Source organism: Homo sapiens, chromosome 2, assembly GCF_000001405.40.
Source record: "Homo sapiens chromosome 2, GRCh38.p14 Primary Assembly".
In the NCBI taxonomy this organism is placed as follows: Eukaryota; Metazoa; Chordata; class Mammalia; order Primates; family Hominidae; genus Homo; species Homo sapiens.
The window spans coordinates 6,396,546-6,421,910 of NC_000002.12; the positions used below are offsets into that span (position 1 = coordinate 6,396,546).

The 25,365-nt window shown below is 37.5% G+C and overlaps 1 long non-coding RNA gene across 1 annotated transcript; it reads right to left on the bottom strand.

Annotated features, from left to right (window-relative positions):
• Positions 1-1,631: 1,631 nt before the first annotated feature.
• Positions 1,632-24,577, bottom strand: LOC105373402 (uncharacterized). Its single transcript, XR_922743.1, has 3 exons — positions 24,508-24,577; positions 22,578-22,640; positions 1,632-1,744 (listed from the first exon to the last, which is right to left on the bottom strand). It is a non-coding gene; the product is annotated as an uncharacterized LOC105373402 (long non-coding RNA).
• Positions 24,578-25,365: the final 788 nt, after the last annotated feature.

The following is a 25,365-nucleotide window of genomic DNA, read 5'->3' on the forward strand; positions in this document are numbered from 1 at the left end:
AAGAGAGTGTGTGCAGGGGAACTCCCATTTATAAAACCATCAGATCTTGTGAGACGTATTCACTACCATGAGAACAGTATGAGGGAACCACCCCCATGATTCCATTATCTCCACCTGCCCTGCCCCTGACATGGGAGATTATTACAATTCAAGGTGAGATCTGGGTGAGGCCACAGTCAAACCATATCAGATACCATGAACTGTTTTATCTAGTGGAATCCAACACTATTCATGATAACAGTAATATAATAACTATAACAGAAGGTGCCATCCTGGAACAGATACTCTGTGTCAGGCACCGTGCCCCCTGCTTCTTACATGGCAGCTCTAAAAATCCTGACCTCCCTCACAACTAGTTCTATGGTGTACTGTCATCTCTAATTCTGCAGATGTGAAAACTGGCACAGAAGAGTTTCATAAGATTTGTGTATGAGCACAACGTAAGAGATTGTATTTGTTTGCTAGGGCTGCAAAAACAAAATACCTGAGACTGGGCAGCTTAAACCACAGACATTTGTTTTCTCACAGTTCTGGAGGCTGCAAGTCCAAGATTGAGATGTCAGCAGGTGTTGCTCACCGTCTTGCTACATCTACACATGGTGTCTTCTCTGTTTGTGAACAACCCTGGTATCTCTGTGTATCCAAATTTCTCTTTTTATAATGACTTGGTCAGATTGAATTAGGACCCACCCTAACAGACTCATTTTCACTTTATCAGCTCCTTAGAAGTTCTATGTCCAAATACAGCCACATTCTGAGGTACAAGGCATTAAGGCTTCAACACACAAATTCAAGGGGGACACAGTTCAAGCCATGACAGTGACCTAGCTGAAATTCAAAATTGGTCTAAGTTTAAAACCATGTTTTCCCTGTCATACCTGGCTCCAACCACTGAAGGCAGGTACTTTATTCTATGCTTTAAGAGAAGCATATTTTCAGGTTACTGCCTCTATCCCCTAAGAGTTTTCAGCATAGGAGAACAGAGAAATAAGTTGACAACTTACTCTACTGCAAAACAAAATGCAATCATAATTAAATAAGAGCCCTCAGAAGACCATATAGCAAAATGGATCAAAGTACTTCTGAAATTAGAGTACCTGAGTTCAAATCTACAATTCAGTCGCAGATAGCAGAAGCAATTAAAGTAAGAATCCTACCCATTCATTAAAAAACTATGTATTGAGAGTCTACCAGGTGCCATGCATTGTTCTAGCCTCTTGAGATACATTATACAGCTCTACATGATTATTCAAAAAAGTGTTTGCAAAATAAATGAGACAGTTTATACCAACTGCCTGATGCTGCCTATTATCTTTAAACGAGGTCTTTGTGGATAATCCAAATTTGCTGATTTAAAGGATTTTTTAAGTTAATTAAGTATAGGAAAGAATTAAATAGGAAGATGTAAGGTATTTTTAAATTTAATATTCTTTCAAAGCAATAATAAAATATTCAAGAGGGACAATATTCAAATAGGAAGCGGAACTGACCAAACCATTGGAAAAAAGCTTTCTGACCAAGTGGTTCTGAGACATCTTAAAAAACCAACTTAATGCCGGGCTCTGACTATATGAGAGAAGAATTTGGACAAAAGATAATAAAGAAATCTTTGAGATAAGTTACCTGAAACTGCCAAGAAAATTCTGATCTGATTCTATATCCACATCTGTACCTCGCCCCTTCTCCTTGTGGAAATGCAGAGTCCTGGGCCAGTCTGCTCAGGCCTTCCAGCACTAAACATACTCTGTTGAGACATAACATAGGATCAGAGATTTACAAAGACCAGAATCATCTAGCACAGTGATACAAGTATGTGTCATTCTAGAGAGACCTCTCTGTATACTGATGTTTATCTGTTTAAAAACACACATCAGGATTAAGGTAAAAGGGTATATGTTTCACTAGGTCACACTTTGCATATGTAGTGGCCACATTTTTTATGATTTTAAAGATATGAGACATCATACAAGTTTGCAGAATTTCAAATAAGACCGCAGAGCCCAGGAGCTCTGGACAACATTAAATTCAGCCATCTAATAAAACACTCTCCATAGTTGTCATGACAACATCCTCCTTCTTCCCATTTGAAGTATGCCTCCTTCTTCTAGATGGAAGTGTTTATTTGGTGTCTGTTGGGAGGCTATAATTTTTTATTGAAATACACAGTTGAAAGGGCATTGAATTGGAATTCACTGAGCCTTGTTTAAGATTACTGTATATGAATCTGTGTTAAGATAACATACAACGCCTTCTTAAAGTCCTCCTCTAATGGAAGCCAGATTTGTCTTATCTCTTATGAAGCTTTTATTTCTTTTTTAACAGTATTTTATTTATTTATTTATTTATTTATTTATTTATCTAATATTTTTATTTTTATTTTTTTTAAGATGGAGTCTCGCTCTGTCCCCCAGGCTGGAGTGCAGTGGCGCGATCTCGGCTCACTGCAGGCTCCGCCTCCCGGGTTCACGCCATTCTCCTGCCTCAGCCTCCCGAGTAGCTGGGACTACAGGCGCCCGCCACTACGCCCAGCTAATTTTTTGTATTTTTAGTAGAGACAGGGTTTCACGGTGTTAGCCAGGATGGTCTCGATCTCCTGACTTCATGATCCACCCGCCTCGGCCTCCCAAAGTGCTGGGATTACAGGCGTGAGCCACCGCGTCTGGCCTTTTAACAATATTTTTAAAAGACCTAACTTAAAGCCCAAAAGATTTAAAATTGTCAGCCTAGATTTTAGTCCTTCCAGAACCAGGTATTCCAATTGTGGGTAAGTGGGCTTCTACAAATTTATAAAAAATGAGTTTTTATGGTGCTGGCAATGGGGTTCCTAATGAATTTGTCTGGGAAAGTCATTTGTCGTTACTTTTTAAATGGGTTTCTGTTCCTGAGAGAAAGGTACTTGTTGCTGATAAACCTAGTTCGTGCTGAAATACTGCACATGCACTCCACGGATCTCTCCGTGGACCCTGTTCCATCTCCACGTCACAGTTTTTCCTCACCTGCCCACCTTCCTCCAACATTTCACTCTTGCAATTTGCTCATCCAGGAAAAACTCACTTTATGCAAAAGCAAACAATAATCGAAGAGAATTTTGCCCTGATTCCTTTGAAATTGTTGTATGTATACTGAAAGAACAATAGCAAAATGATAGAGCAATGAACGCCACTAAAACAAAACAAAACAAAAAATTTTTTTGGAGCAAATAAAGATCGTGTAGCCTTTTACTCAAATGTTTACCTCCATAAAATAGGATCTGAAAATCAAAGAGAAAAGAACTCAAAATTTTTTACAGGAGGTGGAAAAATGTGCTTGTAAAAGTCAGAAAAAAAGTGAGACAGAAAAATAAAACTGTCTCTGTGAAGGCCAGATTGGAAGCAGCAAGAAAAGAAATTCTACATGGCTGAAAATGTGAAAAGGAACATGTTAGGAGGTCTTGAGAAAAATGAGCAATGTATTGCTTAAAAATTATTTTAAAAGAGTTAAAATGATGATTATAGGAGATAAAAATTCCATATGTAAATAAGTATTGTCTCTGAATAAGAAATAAATGAATTGAACCCAACAACAACAAAATAACTTTAAAAACTTTCAAAAAAACAACTATCGAGTACTATGCTTAGTAAGTCGCTGACGAGTTTGCACATCAAACCCCCATGACAGGAGTTCACCTGTATTAACAAACCTGCACATGTACTCCTGAACCTGAAATAAAAGTTAAAAAAAAAAAACAACTTTATTTTGAAATACGTAGAGGCTCGCACCTAGATACTAAAAGGTTACACTGTATCCCAGGGAAAACTGATTCAAAATATTCTATAGCAATGCATCATAAAAATTTTGGAATTTAGAATTAGAAACTGTTTTAGACATGAAAGCAAAATATTAAGTTATCTACAAAGAGAAAATTAGACTGACTTCAAAGTTATCCAAAACAACATTAAGTGCCAGAAGAAATATACAAAATGCTCAGAAAAAGAATATGTGTGTGAGAGAGAGACACAAAAATGTAGTATTCAACCATGTGCATGCTTAAACCAATCTTTTTTAAAAAATTATCTTCATTTTTAAAAATATCTAGGCCCTACAATGCTATGCTGAGCAGTAAATATTTTAAGAGAAATGGATCTAAACTGTCACCGTTGTATATAACATTTATCGTAAGATTTATATTCTATATTTGTATATGTACGCTTATTTTTATGTATTTTTATATATTTAAAATTCTATATTTATTTTATATACACATTTGTATAAATACATTCCTCTCTAGTCTTCTAAGTTTTTAAAAATGACACAAAGGTTTAAGTTTTTGTTTGTTTGTTTGCTTGTTTGTTTGTTTTGTTGAGAGGGAGTTTCACTCTTGCCCAGGCTGAAGTGCAAAGGCAAAATCTCAGCTCACTGCAACCTCCGCCTCCTGGGTTCAAGTGATTCTCTTGCCTCAGCCTCCTGAGTAGCTGGGATTACAGGCACCTGCCACCACACCCGGCTAATTTTTGTGTTTCTAGTAGAGACAGGGTTTCACCATGTTGGCCAGGCTGGTCTCAAACTCCTGACCTTAGGTGATCCACCAAACTCGGCCTCCCAAAGTGCTGGGATTATAGGCATGAGCCACCGTGCCCGCCTATAAAGGTTTAAGTTTAATCATTTTTATTTAGTTTTTAATATTTTGTTTGTTTTTATAGATTTAGGGATAAAAGCACAGCTGTGTTACATGAATGCATTACGCATTGGTGAACCCTGGGCTGTTGGTGTACCCATCACTCAAATAACGTACAGTATACCCAACAGGTAATTTTTCAGCTTTCACCACCCCCTAACCCTTTGGAGTCTTCAATGTCTATATCCCACTGTGTATGTCCATGTGTTCCCATTATTAGTTCCCAGTTATAAGTAAGAACATGTGTTTATTTTCACTTTTTGTTTCTGAGTCATTTCGCTTTTGGCCTCCAATTCCATCCATGTTGCTACAGAGGAAGTGATTTCATTCTTTTCTATGGCCAAGTTAGTATTCCGTGGTGTGTGTTTGTGTGTATGTGTGTGTGTGTGTATACACATTATATATACATCTTATTTTAAAACCTAATCATGAATTGATGGACAATTAGTTTGGGTCCATAACTTTGCTATTGTGAACAGTGCTATGATAAACATTTAAGTGCAGGTGTATTTTTGGTATAATGATTTATTTAAGGTACATTTAATCCATTTAAAATCACATGTGTATTTCTTTATGTATATATTTTATGTATTTTTTATTCTGTATTTATTACATATATTCATATATATTCTCATTCTAGTTTACTGAGGTTTTAAAAAATCACGTATAAAGATTTTAATATTTCTAAAGAATTTTATTGAATGTTTTCTTCTACCTCTCAAAATCTTTTTAGAATTTTCGTCATTTATTCTATTAATCTATTAATCTATTGATAGAATTTTCTGATGGTAAAATGTCTTCTTTTAGAGATAAACTGTATTGGATCATTTCTATTTTTATACACAGTTCTATTTGCGTAGCTTTGCATTAAAATCTACTTAGACTATTTTAAATGTTCACACTTTTTTTTTCTAAATTAAAGTTTGTTGTATATTTTTTTCATTGACTTAACATTCAACCTTCCTGTGTCTCTGGGGAGTTTTGATAGAAAATCCAGGCAAACCTCAGAGCTACTGCAGGTTTGGGTCTAGACCACTTCAATAAAGCAGATTTTGCAACAAAACAAGTCACACAAAATTGTTTGGTTTCCCTGTGCATATGAAAACTACACCATATTTTAATCTATTAAGTGTACAATAGCATTATGTCTAAGACGTATGTATACGTGTATTTAATTAAAAATACTTTATTGATCTAAAATGCCGGCAGTCATCAGAGCACCTGAGCCGTGAGTGAGTTGTAATCATTTTGCTGGTAGAGGATTTGGCTTCAGGTTGAAGGCTGTTGACTGATCAACATGGTGAGTGACGAAGGTTGAGGTGACTACATCTATTGAGTCTTTCTTTCACAGAAGATTTCTCTGTAGCATGTAATGTTGTTTGATAGCATTTTACTCACAGTAGAAGTTCTCTCAAAATTGGAGTCAATCTTTTCAAACCTTGCTGCTGCTTTATCAACTAAGTTGATGTAATATCTTTGTTGTCATTTCAAGAACGTTCACAACATCTTCGGGAGGAGTAAATTTTATCTCCATAAACCTCTTCCTTTGCTCACCTACAAAAACTAACTCCTTATCGGTTAAAGTTTCATCATGAGATTGAAGCAATTCAGTCACATCTTCAGGCTCCACTTCTAATTCTAGTTCTGTTGCTATTTCATCCACATCTTCAGCTACTTCCTCCAAGGAAGTCTTGAACCTCTCAAAGTAATTCATGAAGGTGGAAATCAACTTCCTCCAAACTCCCGTTATTGTTGATATTTTCATGTCTTTCTATGAGTCATGAATATTCTTAGCAATATATAGTATGGTGAATGCTTTCCAGGGGTTTTCAAATTTACTTTGCTTAGATCCATAGAGGAATCACTATTATGGCAGCTATAGCTGTGGTATTTCTTAAATAATAAGAAGATTTGAAAGTCAAAATTACTATTTGATCTTAGCAGCATAATGCATGCTGTGTTAGCAGGCATGAAAACAACATTTATCTCCTTTCACATCTCCATCAGAGCTCTTGGGTCACTAGGTCAATGAACATAATATTTTAAACAACTTTTTTTTCTGAGCAGTAGGCCTCAACTAAGGCTTAAAAATATTTAGTGAATCATGCTGTAAATAGGTGCTGTTTCCATTTATAGAGCACAAGCGGAGTAGATTCAGCATAATTCTTAAGGGCCCTAGGATTTTTGGAGTGATAAATGTGCATTGGCTTCAACCTAATGCCACCAGATGCACTGGTCCCCTAGCAAGAGAGTCAGCCAGTCCTCTGAAACTTTAAAGCCAGGCATTAACTTCTCTTCTGTAGCTATGAAAGTTATAGATAGCATTGTTTTCCAGTAAAAGGCTGTTTCACCTATACAGAAAATTTGTTGTTGAATGTAGCCACCTTCATCAGCCATCTTACTGAGATCTTCTAGATAACTTGCTGCAGCTTCTCCATCAGCTCTTGCTGCCGCACCTGCGTTTTATGTTCTGGAGATGGCTTCTCTCCTTAAACCTCATGAACCAACATCTGCTAGCTTCAAGCTTTTCTTCTGTAGCTTTCCTGTCTCTTGAAGCCTTCATGGTATTGAAGAATTAGGGCCTTGCTGTGGATGAGGTTTGGCTTAGGAGAATGTTGTGTATGGTTGGATCGTCTATGTAGGCTACTAAAATGTTCTCCCTGTCAGCAATAAGGCTCTTTTGCTTTGTTATCATTTGTGTATTCACTGAAGTGGCAATTTTAATTTCTATCAGGAGCTTTTTCGTGCGTTCCTAACTTGGCTAACTGTTTAGCACAAGAGGACTAGATTTCGGCCTGTCTCAGCTTTTGAAATGCCTTCCTCGCGCACTGCGCTTAATCATTTCTAGTTTTGGAAAATGATACACATTTGACTCTTTCTTTAACTTGAACCCTTAGAGGCCATTGTAGGGTTACTAATTGGCTTAATTTCAATATTGTTGTTTCTCAAAAAATAGGAAGAGAGATAAGAAACAGCCATTTGGTGGAGCAATCAGAACACACTTAACATTTATCGACTAAATTTGTCATCTTACATGAGCATGGTTTATTATAGCCCAAAACAATTATAATAGTAATATCGAAGATTACTGATAACATAACAGATATAATGATAATGAAAAAGGTTAAAAAGTTGCGAAGATTACCCGAATGTGGTACAGAGATGCAAAGTGAGCACATTCTGGTGGAAAAAAATGATGCCAATAGACTTGTTCCACGCAGTGTTACCAAAATCTTTCAATTTATAAAAAACCCAATATCTGGGAAGCACAGTAAAGCCAAGTGAAATGAAATGAAGTATGTCAGTACATTACTGATATGAATGTATTTATCTGACCCCTTTTAGATATATGAATTTTATTGACATGTAACTATGTGTCATAAATTGAATCATTTTTAAGTAACTAATTCAGTGATTATTGAAAAATTTACACATCTTGTTACCACAGCAACAATCAAGCTACATTCTGGTCCTTCCAGAAGTTTCCTTCATACACTTTTTCCAGGCAAATCCTCTCCCCTTCAATTTCAGGTATCCAGTAATCTACTGTCATTATGAATTGGCTTAATCTTTTGTAGAATTTCATATAAATGGAATCACATAGTACGCACTCTTCATGCCTGTCCTCATTTTGTTGAGTGTAATAATTTTGAGATGAATTCATGTTTTATGTGTATTATCCCTTTGTTCCTTTTTATTGATGAGTAGTATTCCATTATATATGTCATGGAATCTATACATGTATATACCACATTTGTTTATCAGATTACCCATTGATGGACATTAAGATTGTTTCCGTTTTTGGTTAAATCTGCTATAAACATTCCAATACAGATATTTGTGAGGACATAATTTTTTCTTTCTTGTAGATAATGACTTCGGAGAGCTCATATGGTAAGTATTTATAGGAAACTGAAAGACTTTTTAAAATGGTTATATGATTTTTTTTTTTTTTTTTTTGAGAGGGAGTCTTCCTCTGATGCCTAGGCTGGAGTGCAGTGGTGCAATCTGGGCTCACTGCAACCTCCGCCTCCTGGGTTCAAGCAATTCTCCTGCTTCAGCCTCCTGAGTAGCTGGGATTAGGTGCATGCACCATGCTCAGCTAATTTTTGAATTTAATTTTTTTTTTTTAGTAGAGACGGGGTTTCACCATGTTGGCCAGGCTGGTCTCAAACTCCTAAACTTGTGATCCGCCTGCCTCAGCCTCCCAAAGTTCTGGGATTTCAGACGTGAGCCACTGCGCCCGGCAAAAATTGATTATATGATTTTTTTGATTCACATTGTTCATGAGAATTTAATTTGCTTCACATTTTCTTCTACCCTTTGTATTTTCAGTCATTTTAACTTTTGCCATTCTATTAGGTATGCAATGGTATACTGTTGTAATTTTAATTTGCGTTTTTATAATTACCAATGATACTGAACATTTTTTCATGTGTTTTTCTCATCCATATATCTCCTTTAATGAAGGGTCTATTCAAATATTTTTGCTGTTTTAGCCCTTCTTGTTTCACTGTAAGAGTTTCTTATATATTCTAAATATGATCCCCTTGTCAGGTAAATGTATTGTGAAGATTTTCTCTTAATGTTTGGCTGTACTTTTAATCTTGTAACAGGGCCTTTCAAAAGTAATTTTTTAAAATTTGTCAACTTTATTTATTTCTTCCCATGGTTCATGCTTCTTGTATCCTAAGAAATGTGTGTTTACTTTAAATTCACAATGATCTTGTCTGTATGCTTGCAGAAGTTTTTTTATCATTTTGCTCTTTAATTTTGTTACGTATTTCAAGTTAATTTTTGAATTACTGAGGAAATGAATTATATGAGGAAATGGTGCTGGATAAATACATCCAATTCGTCCATCATCATTTGTTGAAAAGCACTCATTTTTTCCCACTTCAATGTTTGTTGAAAATGTCTTACTTATGTATGTGTGTATCTATTTCTGAATTCTTAATTCTGCTTAATCTATCTATGTTAATGACCCTAAGCTTCTGTCATGGTGTCCTGATTACAGTATTTTTCAGATCAGGCAATAAGTCCTCCAGATTTGTTTTACTATTTCAAAACTCTTTTGGTGAGTCTAGATGATTAGCATTATAATATATATTTTAGAATCTGTCAATTGCTTCAAAAAAGACTGCTGAGATTTTGATTGAGTGTATTAAATCTCTATATCAATTTTATGATAATTCATATCCTAACAATATTAAATTTTCCAAAACAGGACCTTAGTATATCTAATTATTTAGTCCTCATTTGATTTTTCTTGTTTCCGTTTTTTTTTTTTTTTTTGGTTTATTTGTTTTTGTTCTTAATTTTCACTTTATAGTTTTTATACACATTTTGTTAAATTATTTCTGAACATTTCATATACTTTTACTATTACAAATTATATTTTCTATTTATTTTGCCACTGTTTATTGCAAACAGGTAGAAAAGTGATGGGTTAGTTTGCTATTGGTTGGTATCCTGCATACCGGTAAAACTGAATTTTGGTTCTATATATTATCATTTGTAGGCTCTTAAAATATCAGCAAACATGATGATGGCATCATCAAATAAGAATAGCTGTTTCTTCTCATATCCAATTTTTCTGTTTTTTTTTTCTTCCTTATTGCATTGACTGGGGCATCCATTTAGTTATAGGGCATCCATAAATAAATAAATTTTTAATTTTTTTTAACTTTTTTCAAATGCTTCTGCATCCATTGAGATGATCATATATATTTTTTCTTTTTTAGTGTGATAAAGTACATTGATGCTGGAACTTTGAATCAATGTCGTACATCTGAGTTAAGCCCCAACTGGTTCTATATAATATATGTCATACACTTTTATATTTATTGAAATATTCATTATATATACATTTTTAAATCTTTCATTAGAGAGGTCCAATTGTCTACTTTTTTATAAAAGCCCACATGAACTGTTTTTATTTTTCAAAGGTTATTTCTGACTTACTAAAGCCACAATAAATTTCCCCTGTGAGTTCCTTAAGTACCTGTCATCTATCTGTGCAAATTTTAAAAAATATCAAATATCTTAGTATGTTCCGCCTCTCCTTCTCCGCATCATGTTGATACTATCTGAAATTTTTTCCTTATTTATTCTATTTGCTATTCTATGAATTTTCTCAACATAAGTTCTTACAGTTTTCTCTAATTTTTGGACTATATTGATCATTACTTTTAATTTTATTTTCTCCTCTCCATTAATGTTTTTGCTATCATTCTAGAGCATCCCCAAATAGATTTCTTTTTGCATCTCTGTTCTCTCCTGCATATATATTAACAATTTTTCTTATATTTTAATTTATTTTTGTTATTTTAACTCTTTTCTTTATGGTCTTAGGAAACATTTTATAACTTATTGATTTGCTCTTTGCTGTAACACTTGTTAATAAACTCTTCCATTAATATATTAATGTATTTTCAATACATACTGCCTTCATTTCCTTACTTTATAACTATGTATTCCTGCTTGAAATATAAAATATTCTCTCTTACAAATGCATCCTATATATTCCCAATCTCTCTACTTTCATAGGTATGCTACATCTGGAATAAAGGGTTCCATTAGTTGTCTATTTTTCAGTAATACTTACTTATTTAACTTTCTCATTATTTATCCCTGGGAGTTTATATTCACCTGAGAGTTTTAGATCCCCTGGCCGAGATGTAGGACCAGAGGGAGGGACGTGCCAGGTCCGAGCATGATTCCTTTCTGTCCCACGCCATGAGAAGTGCAGGTGACTGCCCAATGCAGGGGCCTTTAGAACTGAAACTTGCTCCAGGGTTCTGGAGCTGCTCTTTAGAGATGATTTTGTTATTTGCAATCAGGAGTCACTTGAGGGCTGGAAGCTACTGGAGATGAGGAGCGTATGCTCAGAGGATACCAGATGTTCCCACACTTGCTGTCAAAAAAGCTTTTCTTTCTCTTTTTCTTTCTTTTTCTCTCTTTCTTTCTTTCGTCTCTTTCTTTCTTCTCTTGTTCTTTCTCTTTCTTCCTCTCTATTTCTCTCTTCCTTCTTTAGTTTTCTCTTCTTCTCTATTTTTTTCTCTCACTCATTCTTTCTTCTTTCATTCTTTATCTTCCTCTTTCTTTCTCTCTCTTATTTTCTTCTGTTGTTCTTTCTTTCTTTCTTTCTTTCCTTCCTTCCTTTCTTCCTTTCTTTCCTTCTTTCTTTTTTCTCTTTCTTGCTTTCTTTCTTACTCTTTCTTTCTTTCTTTCTCTCTTGCTTCTTTCTTTTCTTCTTTCTTCTCTAGCTTAAACATACTGATTGGGCAGAGTTGTTCTCTGGTTTTTACAGGTAAAATAGGAGAAGAAAGGGATCTAGTTAAATTTGTTCTTTCATCTACTGTGGCACCCAGGATGATTATTCTTTCTCTTGTGCACACATGAAGTCACAGCATGTATACCGTCTTTATACAGTTTTTTTATGGTTTTTATTCAATTGGTTGGACTTTAATTGACTAATGCCCTCCCTTCTGTGGAATCTCCAGGACTGGATTAAGGAGATGAAGGGGTGGCTCTTCCTACTTGACTTACTGGAAATGCACAAGGAAATTGCTTTCCCATACTTTCTGCATTGTCAGACTGATATTCATTTTAGATGTGACAGTATGGTATTATTGTAACGTGTCTTAACAAGTTCCAATCTATTTAGCTTTCCTGAGCTCTTTGTGGTCTTCCTGTCCTTTTTCTTCCTAAGTTGTATGTGAAACTACCTATATTCCACTTAAAAAAAATTAGAACCTGGATTCAAGACCTGCCTCTGTCACTGCACAGCTGTGTGATCCAAGTGTGGAATGACGACCACATGTGAGCTTCTGTAGGTCTTAGGTCCCCCCTTTATGAAATTGCAATAATAATAATATCTACCACCTTTAATTGCTTTGATAAAATGCTACAATATGTGGGATGTTATGGTATGCCATGCAGGTCTCCCTTCTGCATGGGAGAAGACACTCATTTTCCCTGACTACTGGAAGGACTGGGGACTCACCACTAATGGGTACCTGTTCACCAAGTGCCTTCTTCTGGAAGGAGTTGCCTCCCCCGAGTTTATCACTCCTCCTCAGGATCAAGCTATGTCCAATAGATCCCGTGGGGGTACAAATGCCCAGTCCTTTGCCTTGATTCAGGACAAATCACAGGACCATACTTGTTCCAGAGCTGCCTATACGGTTAATTGAGGTCTCGGCTATAGCTGCATTACAGGGTTTCTTGCTTGCTTGCTTGCTTGCTTGTTTGTTTTCCTTCTTTCTTCTTTCTTTCACAGTCTTGTTCTGTTGCCCAGGCTGGAGTGCAGTGGCGGGACCCTTGGCTCACTTCAACCTCTGCCTCCCGGGTTCAAGTGATTCTTGTGCCTCAGCCTCCCAAGTGGCTGGCACTACAGGCATGCACCAACATGCCTGGCTAATTTTTGTATTTTTAGTATAGACAGGATTTCACCATGTTGGCTAGGCTGGTCTCAAACTCCTGACCTTAAGTGATTCTCCCACCTTGGCCTCCCATTACAGGTGTGAGCCACCACTCCCAGCCTGCATTGCAGTTTAATGACTCCTTCTCTCACACCTGCTTCCCTAACTCCCCTTATGATGATTTTTCTGAGTGCATCCTTAAAAATATTCTGCCCAGAAATATCTCCATTTCAATAAGTTTTCTGTAGAAATATAAGTCAGATATATCAAAATATAAGTCAGAATTTTACAAATATTGAAGTGTCATATCACATCAGAGTAACAACACCACCTAAGTACCAAATGATGATAATGAAACTTAGACCTACTGGAATTGAGTAGAGGTGAACATCATGTGAGAGAAAGATCACTGTGCGCTCGTGAATCAGGGTAGGGTCCACCGGGATGTGAAACATGAATTTGAACTTGAACGAAGAGGGGCTAAATCTGATGCACACAAAACAAACTCGTGCTACATCTTCCTCTGAAATTGCGATTCTAGCTTCTTATGTCAGGTACTTTTAGTATCTGACTCTTTTAAGCAAGACTGGGATAATTAAATTCATGGCTTCCAGTTGGAACACCTCCTTCAGTATGGAGCTGGCAAAACCTAGCCAGTAGCCTATGAATGTTACCGTTTGGCAAAGCCTCAGAACTAGGCAGAACCATGGATGCTGTCATTTGTATTGTCAGCTTCCAACATACCAAATAACCTTGGTAATGACTTCACCATAGCTCCTCTGAACTGCTTGGTGTTTACCCAAAATGTGCCTTGGTACAAAGTCTGTGGGAGGCAGTGTCAAGTCGAATGCCTAACAGTTTGAGCATCTGGGATTAATGAGCTATCAGCAAACACTTGGCTTATGCATGACCAATCTGTTTTTGAATACTGTGAGTGCTGACTGTATCAATAAAGATAGGCTGTGATGGGAAACATTTGCTGTTATGTAACAACATGCTTGAATGCTTAGGTCGGAAGGGAGATATCACACAAGTAAGAATGGCCATAATATGAAGAGAAGCAAAACAGTGGCAGAGTTCGTAGAGGGCAGTGATTCAAGAGGTCAGGTACGCAGGAGCTCAGGGATTTTCTTTCTTTTCTCCTTCCCTCCTTCCTTTAGTTTATCTTTCATTCTTTCTTTCTTTCAACATTCCAGGACCATTTAGAAGGCACTTATGCTCTCCCTCAAGGATCTTATGGTATAGTAGCATGATTGATTTTACATAATTGCTTTAAATAAATGTTCAAATCACTTGGTAGGTGATATTCAAACATAATTTTATGAAACTAAATAGACAAGAGACTGAAATAATTATAACATTAATGGATTTATAGTAAATACTCTGAATATTTTAAAATACATTCACCCATTTTGAAAGAGCACATGCAGATAAAGTGACACACAAGATCCACATGTAAGTGTTTGCTAAGAGGGGAAAATGGCAATAGAGCATGAGGACAGGAGAGGATGAAAATCAATCAAAGAAGGGCTTTGCCCAAATGGATGTAAGGGAAACGTGAGCTCTGCCATGGTATCTGAAAAAAAGAAACCCAAAAAGGTGAGGTGGGAGCTGGGCATGGTGGCTCATGCCTGTAATCCCAGCACTTTGGGATGCTGCGGCAGGCAGATCCCATGAGGTCAGGAGTTCGAGACCAGCCTGGACAACATGAAGAAACCTTGTCTCTACTAAAAATACAAATTAGCCTGGTGTGGTGGCAAGTGTCTGTAATCCCAGCTACTGGGGAGGCTGCAGTAGGAGAATTGCTTGAACCTGGGAGGCGGAGGTTGAAGTGAGCTGAGATCATGCCACTACACTCCAGCCTGGGCAACAAGAGTGAAACTCCATCTCAAAAAAAAAAAAGAAAAGAGAAAAAAGAAAGGTAAGTTAGGGCTGAAAAAAGAACTTTAGAGTCAGTGCAAAAGACAACCACCCTCCTCTAAGAGGAGCTGAAGATGACTCCCTGTATTCCCCCAACACTGCCATGAAGGAAGAGACTCCCTGATGTAGACCGAGAAGTCCAGGGACACCAAGGTAGCAATGAAGCTACTGAGCTGGAGAAGACCTTCCTGTTGATGGAGCACGGATATTAAAATTAAACAACTGGAAAATATTCTCTCCAGTCTCCTGCTGGTTCATTCATTAGGTAACTGGTCAGGTTGCTTGTAACCATCTCTTCTGTGGCTTGGCCTTTTCAGTGATTTTGGCTGGTGAGAGGCTCCTGGCTGTTCCTGCTTGGGAGGCCCCTGAGGCCAGCCTCTCAGGAGGAGTGATTCTTTACCTGCACTCTTGGGAAAATGTGTTAGCCATTCGGGGGCTGGAGAATATCCTAATCCTAGAGTCACTCAATATTTTCATTTTTTGCTTTATTGTAATATAATTTATATACTATGAATCTCACCCATTTAAAGTGTACACATCAGTGGCTTTTAGTATATTCACGGTCATGTTCAACACTAGTCACAATATATTTGAAAAACATTTTCGTCACTTCTTAACAAAACCCCCTACTCAAAATCAGAGGTCCTCATTCTTGCTCCCCACTCCCAAGCCCCATATAACCACTCACTCATGCATTGTCTGTGTCCCTGTAGATTTGCCTAGGACATTTCATAGATGTAGAATAATAGAATATATGGTCTTTGTGATTGGCTTTTTTCATTTAGCAGGATGTTTTTGAGTTTGGCTATTACTGAATATGCTTAGAAGGTAGCCCAAAAATAAGACCAGCCTATTAAACACAGGTGATGTTTCTATCCTATTGTTACTTGCTTTGTACTTTGTTCTTGTAAAATGATTTTGTTTTTCTTTGCCTCTATCCAGTCACTCTGAAAGAAGGAGAGTTTGTGTTTACCAGCAATGTCAGTATCATATGACCTTCCTTGGCCTGTGTAATTCCACTAAGTCTTAAGTACCACGGGATATCACCATAGAAAGATGAGAGAAATTGACATTGTTTAAAGTCATGTTGTATATATGGGAGATACTGATACTCCCTCTAGTTGCAAGTGAGTCAATGCTTATATTTACTCTAACTACCATTTTTATAGGTTTTATACAAAATACAAAGCTGTTTTGTTCATCATGAAAGAAATTTCTGTCAGTATAATTTGACTCTTAGTATTTCTTAAGACGTGTTATTAAAAAAATAGAACCAACAGAAGGACCTAGCATGTGAGCAGATGCAATTCTAGCCTTCCTATGGTGCGACACATCTCTGACTCACCTTCCTCTCCACCAGACCCACCCTCTTACTGTAATCACACTCAACACAACCCACATTTATTTGAGATTTTGTCACTTTCAGTTCAAATGACTGTGACCTATTTGTTGCCCTGGAACATAGTACAATACCAGGCATGTAGCAGCTTTTTAACAAATGTAAGAGGAAGAAAGAAAGGAAGGAATGAAGGAGAAAAGGAAGGAAGGAAGGAAGGCAGGAAGGAAGGAATGGAGGAAGGGAGGAAGCAAGAAAAGGGGAGGGGAGGGGGTCAAAGGAGGGAAGGGGAGATGAGAGGGAAGAAACAAAACACTCAAACGAACAAACAAACTGAGACTAGACTGTTCTCTTAGATTTACTTCTATATCAACATAAATCTCATTTTATTCATTTAGTTGTATTTATCCAGATGACTAATGAGATTTTTTCCCAGAGAAATGAGAAGCAAATTTAATACTGGATATAAAACGACTTGGTAAAATGAATGCATGCAAACCATAAAAATACATGTTTGTAGAGTTGATTCAGTCATGGCCTCCAGCTTTTCCCCAGCTACAAAGGCATTTAGGAATCAGAGCTAAATTTTTCAAAGGGGCCCAGATGCTCACTTTAAGGCACTTATGGCTTACTTACCATTCCACTGTTATATTCAATCACATGAGGATTCATAACTAGCACCTTTACGTAGAAGCTCTTTGTTTCAATGTTGAATCATGAGTGCCACGACTTTAAAATTTATGCTCTTGGAACTATGATGATGCTGCTGATCTAATTGGTTTTGCACAGAAAGTGTCAAAGTTATTTTTTAACAGCCAATGTATTAGGGTCTAACATAATAAAACAATTTGTGTGTATTTTTGTATATCTATCTATCTATATATGTATATATATACACACACACACATATAATCAACATTATTCCTATTTTTAAGAATAATGTGAAAGACTAGATAAATTAGAAACAAAACTTGATTTAATCCTAGGATCATGTGACATCATTAATATTTGTGTGAAAGTTATTATTATCCTAAATAATACATGTGTTTGGAGTTCTACTAGATGTGATGAGATAATGAGTTCCAACACTTTTTCATGCCCCATTCTGCTAATGAGAAAGTAAGCTTCAATTCCAGCTCTTATTTCTATGCACCATTTTATAATTTTGAAGTATATCAATACTTAGCTATTGGGTTCTGAAGGATAGGGAGAAATTTTAGAAGATATGTGAAAATAATAATATTTGTGGCATAATTGTTTTTAGAAAATAATCTCATATCATCAATTCACAATTATGAGAGTTTTCGTGATCAATTGACTCAAATACTTTTTGTAAATCAATATTGTTAAAAAAGAAAGCAAAAAGCTAAAAATGTGTATGAGATTTTTATTAATCACAACAAAGAGGTGAATGATAGCATTTTTTCTATATTCAAATATAAGTTTAACTAAAAATATATTGTTTAAAGTTAGGTAGGGAAAAACTACTGAAAAAGATAAACTAAGGAAATAAATATAAAATTCAACATAGCAGAATTTATTACTTCTAGTGGGACGACAGAAGTGTGGGCTTGGGCAGGAGCATGAAGAGGGTTTCAGCAATACTTTGTGTAAAGGAATGTACATGGACACACTTATACTAACATACATGTAACATATTTTTGGAAGACACATAAATAACTGGTAAGGGTGATTGCTTTAGTGGGAAGTTTTGGAAGTTAGGGTAGAAGACTTGATGTTTAGTACATATTTTTGTATTGTTTTAATATTCACATTGGAAATATGTGTTTTCAAACATTAAACAAAAATAGTAACTTAATAATCAAAGAAACTAAGAAACAGCAAATATTTTTTGAGCAACTACAAGAAATACCAAGCAGTGCTAGAGGCCATGGGGTCATAGGTATGATACTGATATGATAATAAAATAAACAATGAAGATAATATTTAAAATATGTTGAGAATTTGTTTTGTTCCAGATGTTATTCTAAGAATTTAATGCAAATAAAAAAATTACTAAAGCCCTATTAGGTAAATGGTATTATTTTTCCTATTTTAGAAATAAAGAAACTGACATTTTAGAATCATATAATTTGCCCAAGACCATACAACTGATAAATAAAAGAGCCAAGGTGCTGAACTCATGTCACATTACCCATTATGCTAGACTTCTTGCCTATGGGAGTTGAGTTGCTAGAAAGTGCCTTTTGTTACTTAAGTGCTCTGGAATCAGGCTCTTTTTCCTTCTATTTGGAAAAATGGCAGGAATCACTCCTCTTCCTGTTGTGCCCATAAGCCTTTCTCCAGTAGCTGAGAATCCAATCATAAAGCTAAGACAAAGATGGTAGAAAAAAAGTCCCCACAATACTTGGCAGACCCTATCAGAGTCAACTCCAAAAATGTCAATAAGAAGAGATGTCCACAGCCTGCAAAGGATTTGCCAATGAGATGCAGTGGTTTGGCTAAATAAGAAAATGTAGGGGCATGGGGAGGTTTCTATAGGACCAGCTTGGGAAAATAGGATGAGCAAAGGCATAGTGCACGCTGACGACAATGCACAAATCACTGTTGAAATTCATCAGCAAGATCTCCACCCTCAAAGACTGTAATTTAGTGGGGGAGATACATCATTGTAGAGCTTGATCACACTCCAGAAAACATTAGAGATGCCTTTAAAAGGTAGAAAGTTCTGGAGGCTTTACTATTACTATCAGCCTCGTATTTCAGTTGCATTTGGCTAGGAATGTCCAGGACAGGAGTGAGAAGCGAGGAGAGGAAACGGAAGGAAAGACATCAAGTGAAGGGCCAATGGCTGGCCAAGCTCCATGGCTGTGCCTACCTGCTGCGGGCTCAGCTCTTCTGCCAGCTGGTGGCATAATTTGTTGGGGGTAGTGGGGGCTACAAGTAACCCATTTGTCAGGTCACTCCAGGGCCAGGTGGAAGGAGGACAAGGGAGAGAAGAGAGTCACGCATGGCTGGTGTTGCAGTCACTGTTCTATTTGGCATGGAGCAGACCTGAATGGATGGGAGGCCTACAAGGGTGGCAAGCCCCACACACTCTTCAGTAGCTCTCTCTTTTCCCCGACCTGCCATCTGGGCAACCATCACAAAAAATCTGCCCTCTGTTCTCTAAGAACCGAAATTAACCGAGTGATTATTTCTCAGTGAGAACCTTTCCACATTTCTGATATCCTAATTTATTTGGCAGCAACACAAGAAACTATTAACATGTGCACCTCCTCACATTTTAAGAAATTCATATTTAAAGAATCGACTATAGTACTGCTTTTGACCATATAAACAGCTAGTTTTGAAAGTATGTATATTTAATCACCCTCCTTTGACTACTTCCTTGAAGCTAATATAGTCTATTGAATTCTAAATTCCTATGTAAGAACTATTTTAAAGCAATGGACCCTTGACACGATGGGGCTTTGACATGACATGTATTCTCAAATCTTCAATGCAGATCTGCATATGGAAGCATCTTATGACAAACATTCCTGAGCATTCTTAACTGGTAATTTTCAATTGCTTTAGAAAATGGCTTGGATGAGGGTTGCAGAGTGATTGACTGAAGAGGGGTCTGAACTCATAATTATCTCCCAACTAATGTGTACATTTCGGATGGTGAAGCCTCTTCACATGCTGAATTGTGATAATACATCACAAAATTGGCCATTTTGAAGAGCTGTTTTGTGAAGCTGATGAATGAAATTTCTCCACAGTGTTGCTTATACACAAGCTTCCCTCCTCCCATACGCCATGTGCACGCTTGTCTAGAAGACAGCACCCTGGCTCACTGGTGGAGAACCAGACCCCTGTATTTCCACCAAGCTGTTCTTGGGAACCAAATTAGAGGAGCTCAAAAGTGGTGGGAATGTGGTCTTAATTGTCTCTTCCATGGAGCTCAACTTGTGGTCTTTGGTTTTGTGAGTTTTCCTGTTTGTGGATGTATCTTTCTTTGTCTCTTGGGGGAAAAACTCCAAGCACTCAGAGGCTGAGATTACTGCATTTGGGATAACATGTTCTGTGCGGAAGACACGTGGGGGAGAAGAAAAGACACACACACAATACCTTTAAGGGTAAACAACCTTTATCCTAAGTATGTGGCAATACAGATATAATAAGCAAATGATATAATAAGCAAATTGCAATAGAAAGGGGAGAAGGGAAAAGATATATATATATATAGATAGATAGATAGATATAGATATATATATAGATATATATATTTATATTTACACTCACTAGACTATGGAGGATTCATCACCATACTGGGAAGCAACAGCCTGGGCTCCAGAGTCAGCCACCCATCCGTGCACAGATGAGGTGAGGTCTCAAGAAGCTTTGGCGTGGTCTGGAACCCTAGCTCCTTTTGTAACGAGTTGTTTGGCATGAGGCCCAGTCTCAAAGGCCCTTCACCACTGGGCTCAAGGAACACAAAAAGGTCAACTTGTTTTTGCGATTGTCTGTTATTTTTCAATAACTAACGTACAGGAACAGATTTCTCTGAAACAGTGCTGGATGAATGCCTCAAGGTACTTACGCAACCTGTTCCAGGACTTGGTGACCATCGTTTTTGTCCATGTTCAATCGAGTTCAAATTTAATATTTAACTTTTCCTCCACACATGTCCTGGACACTTCAATCAAAAAGATGTCAATGATCTTATATCCATTGAGACTAATGACTGCATGTAGGAAGATATATGCGACAAAGCTGAAAACTTAGCACATATATGACCAGTGGCCATGTGTTCAATTTCACTGTGAAGAAGAATAATGGGTTCGTTATAAAAAGACTGTGGTTACAGGTGCTCTCCTGTGTCGGTTTTACTGAGACTGCGCTCCTGCTAAGGAAAGCATGTGGGTACTGGAAAAAATTCAGCAGAATTCCAGTTTTTTAAAGCATTAATGAATTTGTATAAATTTTTTTTTCAAAAAATATCACAATGGATCTCTGATTCATGGTTTTGTCAAACACAATTCTTTGATGAAACAGTAGTCGTTGCTGAGTCCTTAACTGTAATGGAACACATTTCCATTCCAAGAAGTGTCCTGCAACCATCTGGTGATGAAGGTCTTGCCATATGTTTAATAGTTTACTATTTAAACTATGCATTGTCTCTGGCTCTTTTTCCTCTTCTTTCTCTTCCTTCTCTTAAACTTCTCTTTGCTTAGTTCTTTCCTTCTTTCATTCTGTCCACAATTCTTTTCTGTTTTCTTCATCAGTTTCACCAGCTTTTCCTTCCCTTCCCCCTCTGACTCCTTTTTTCCTAACCTCCTTGTCTCCCCTTCTTTCCTCACGTCTTTTCTGGCTCTTCCTCTTTCTTATCATTTTTCTTCCCCTCTCCCTTTTTTTTTTTTTTTTTTTTTTTTTTTTTTTTTTTTTTGGTCATGCTCTTGTTTCATGAATGCCTGACATGGCTTTCCTTTAGGCCCTGAACTTCAAATAACTGAGGCCACTTTTTCCTCTCAATTCATCTGAATTTCCTCTGATCTATTCAAGATGCTCACAAATCCTGAGTTTCTTTGTAGCTGCCTCCTTAAGAAATGCTGTGGAAAGGAAGACTGAAGAAAGGCACTGGGCGTTGGCAGAAGAAAACCTCTTTGTATGGGGTCTCACACCCTAATAACCACAACTTCCTTTTTTCCCCATGTTTCCTTTTCTCCTTTGTTTTTTTCACTTTCTATTTCCTGATGCTTTGTAGGATTTTTAAATCAAACACATGTTCTAAGTAATGTTGACAGAAGTAGGACTGGGAAAGAGGGAATTTTCTCTTCCCATGTCTTGGCTAAGCTCTGAGACTTTTTTTTTTTTTTTAAAGTAACAGGCCCTCTATGAGAAGAAAACTATGCTATAATTTCTGGGGACATGAATTTCTTCAGATCCTAACTGTTTTGTTAGTTAAATGCCTGGATTACATCTTGAACAGTTTAGTAAACTCAATTATTCAAAGCCAGTGGATTTTCTAATCTCTTGTGAGTCCCTTCACCTTTGTTCAAATTTCTATTTAATTAAACATTTGCTAGATGGAGTAAAATTTGGATCATTTGATTTTACTACCTATATCAGTCTTGGTATAGAGTCTATTCTGGTAAGAGATAGCTAAGAAGAATTTCTCACATGGTATTGATTACTCTGATTTATTCCAGCCAGTGCTGCTTTCCAGCACATTTCTGGGTGCAATTACAAGATTTTCATCAACAAAACTCTACGCATTTAGAGATCCAGTTACCTTCTTAATCACATGATATGCCTCCATAGGGTCTGAGATCAACCAGAGAGTATCTCTTTAGCTCTGTTGAAAGAAGTCGAGAAATATGAACGGAGTACATTTTAAAATTAATGAATGAGATGCTATATGCCAGCATTTGCAAATATTTACATCTATACATAGTATGTATACATTACCTAAACATATATATTGTTTAATGTATAATAAATATATGTACTCTCGAAAACTTCCTCTTAGTTCATAAGAAATCACCTCTTCCCAAAGCAATTAAAGCCTGCTTTTGTTTAAACTAGTTTTCGTCGCTGACATTTGAGGAAAATGTTTTTGCATGGAAAGTTGAGAATTTGTTGATTTTTCTAGTTGGTAAAAAATGTTAGTGGACACATTCGATATTAATAATTATAATATCATACACATAAACATTAAAATTATAAAATTTTATATCTAGAAGAAATATTGAAGGCAAAAAAAATTCAAAGTCAAACTTTTTATATAACCGCTGTATAATAATAAGATGCTCAGTATACCACAGCTAGAATAAATTCCTTAGCATTTTAATGTACTTTTTCAAACTAAAGATTATAGATACTTTTGAAATTATGGCAATAGAAATATGTATGGCATTTTTTTTTTTCAGCTTACCACAGAATCCTTGATTCAAAAATGCATTTAAAAATTGTTGCATGTTCTCCTAGGCACTAGTATTTCTCCCACTAAAGTATCCTCCAAGGGGTAGCCAACCTATAATTCTACCCCAAATCACTCTTTTTTTTTTTTTTTTTTTTTTTTTTTTTTTTTTGAGACGGAGTCTCGCTCTGTCGCCCAGGCTGGAGTGCAGTGGCGGGATCTCGGCTCACTGCAAGCTCCGCCTCCCGGGTTCACGCCATTCTCCCGCCTCAGCCTCCCAAGTAGCTGGGACTACAGGCGCCCGCCACTACGCCCGGCTAATTTTTTGTATTTTTAGTAGAGACGGGGTTTCACCGTTTTAGCTGGGATGGTCTCGATCTCCTGACCTCGTGATCCGCCCGCCTCGGCCTCCCAAAGTGCTGGGATTACAGGCGTGAGCCACCGCGCCCGGCCCCCAAATCACTCTTGACTCCAGTTTTCTCAGGAAGATCCTGGAGGGAACCCAAGCTTGCTCTCTTGCAGAGCTAATGTTCCTCACCAATAGTGAGTGTTCTATCAGCAGCACAGGTGCAATGAAATGAGATCCATGTCCAGTAAATACAGGAGCTTCCCTGGTTTAAAAGCTTCTGAATTCAGGGCCGGGCGCGGTGGCTCACGCCTGTGGTCCCAGCACTTTGGGAGGCCGAGGCGGGTGGATCATGAGGTCAGGAGATTGAGACCATCTTGGCTAACACGGTGAAACCCCGTCTCTACCAAAAATGCGAAAAATTAGCCGGGCGTGGTGGCATACGCCTATAGTCCCAGCTACTTGGGAGGCTGAGGCAGGAGAATCGCTTGAACCCGGGAGGCAGAGGATGCAGTGAGCCGAGATCGCACCATTGCACTCCAGCCTGGGCTACATGGCGAGACTCTGTCTCAAAAACAAAAACAAAAACAAACAAACAACCAAAAAGCTTCTGAATTCAAATTAAGGCCCTAGGCCAGGCACGGTGGCTCACGCCTGTAATCCCAGCACTTTGGGAAGCCGAGGCGGGTGGATCACCTCTAGTCTGGCCAACAGGGTGAAACCCCGTCTCTCTTAAAAATACAAAAAATTAGCCGGGCGGGGTGGCGGGCGCCTACAATCCCAGATACTCAGGAGGCTGAGGCGGGAGAATCGCTTGAACCCGGGAGGTGGAGGTTGCAGTGAGCCAAGATGGCACCATTGCAGTCTAGTCTGGGCAACAAGAGCAAACCTCCCTCTCAAAAAAAAAAAAAAAAAAAAAAAGGCCCTAGAGGAGTCAGTCCCCTCCTCTCAATTCACCTTTTCATGGGTGTAAGGATACGATGGTTATGAGTCACCAGACTCCAGAAAGTCCACAGCACAGCATCCCCATCAGGTATTCCTAGTTCACTTTTAGCTCCTTCCAGTTCAGATAAAATGTACTAATCAGTGGTCCTTTTATCCTGAGGGTTGCTTAGTAACATAAGTGACAATTTTACCTTTGTCAGGTTACCAGGGAAACTGATGCAGACAGCATAACCAAAGGTCAGCTAGGAATCACAGATCAGGTGCAGCATCCTACGGGGCCGAGGAAGCTCAGCCACAGGACAGGCTTCCTGTAGTCAGACTCAGATCACACGGCATTATGACAGACGGCGGCTGACTCCGAAACGCTGGCCTCTTTATCCTAAACGTATTGTACTGCCCAACATTAATATGAAATATTAATATAAAAAGTGACTGCCAAGACAGCACCCACATCAAAGCACAGCGGTGTGACCATGACTGCATTTTTCTGGGTTTATTGATGTGCGTGTCTTAGAAGGCAGAATCCAAGGCTTCGCTCCCTTTCAGCTAGATTACATTGCTCACCTCCCTCTGATTTATCAGTTGTCCTTTGCTCCAATAGCATTAGATCAGAATTTATTAAACGTCTTGCTTATATTAAGACATTTTTAGTATTAACAGGTATTCTCTATCTTATACAGTGCTTACCACACATATGCCAAAGTGATTTTCAATCCATTAATAAATGAAGATTTCATTAGCTGTTTCTATGAGCAAAACATGATCCTAGGCAGTTTGTGAAGGAGATCAGCTATTAGATTAAAAACCTTTTTACACAGAACATTCCATTTTCAGCTTACTGGAGAAGCTAAAACATATATTGGGGAATTA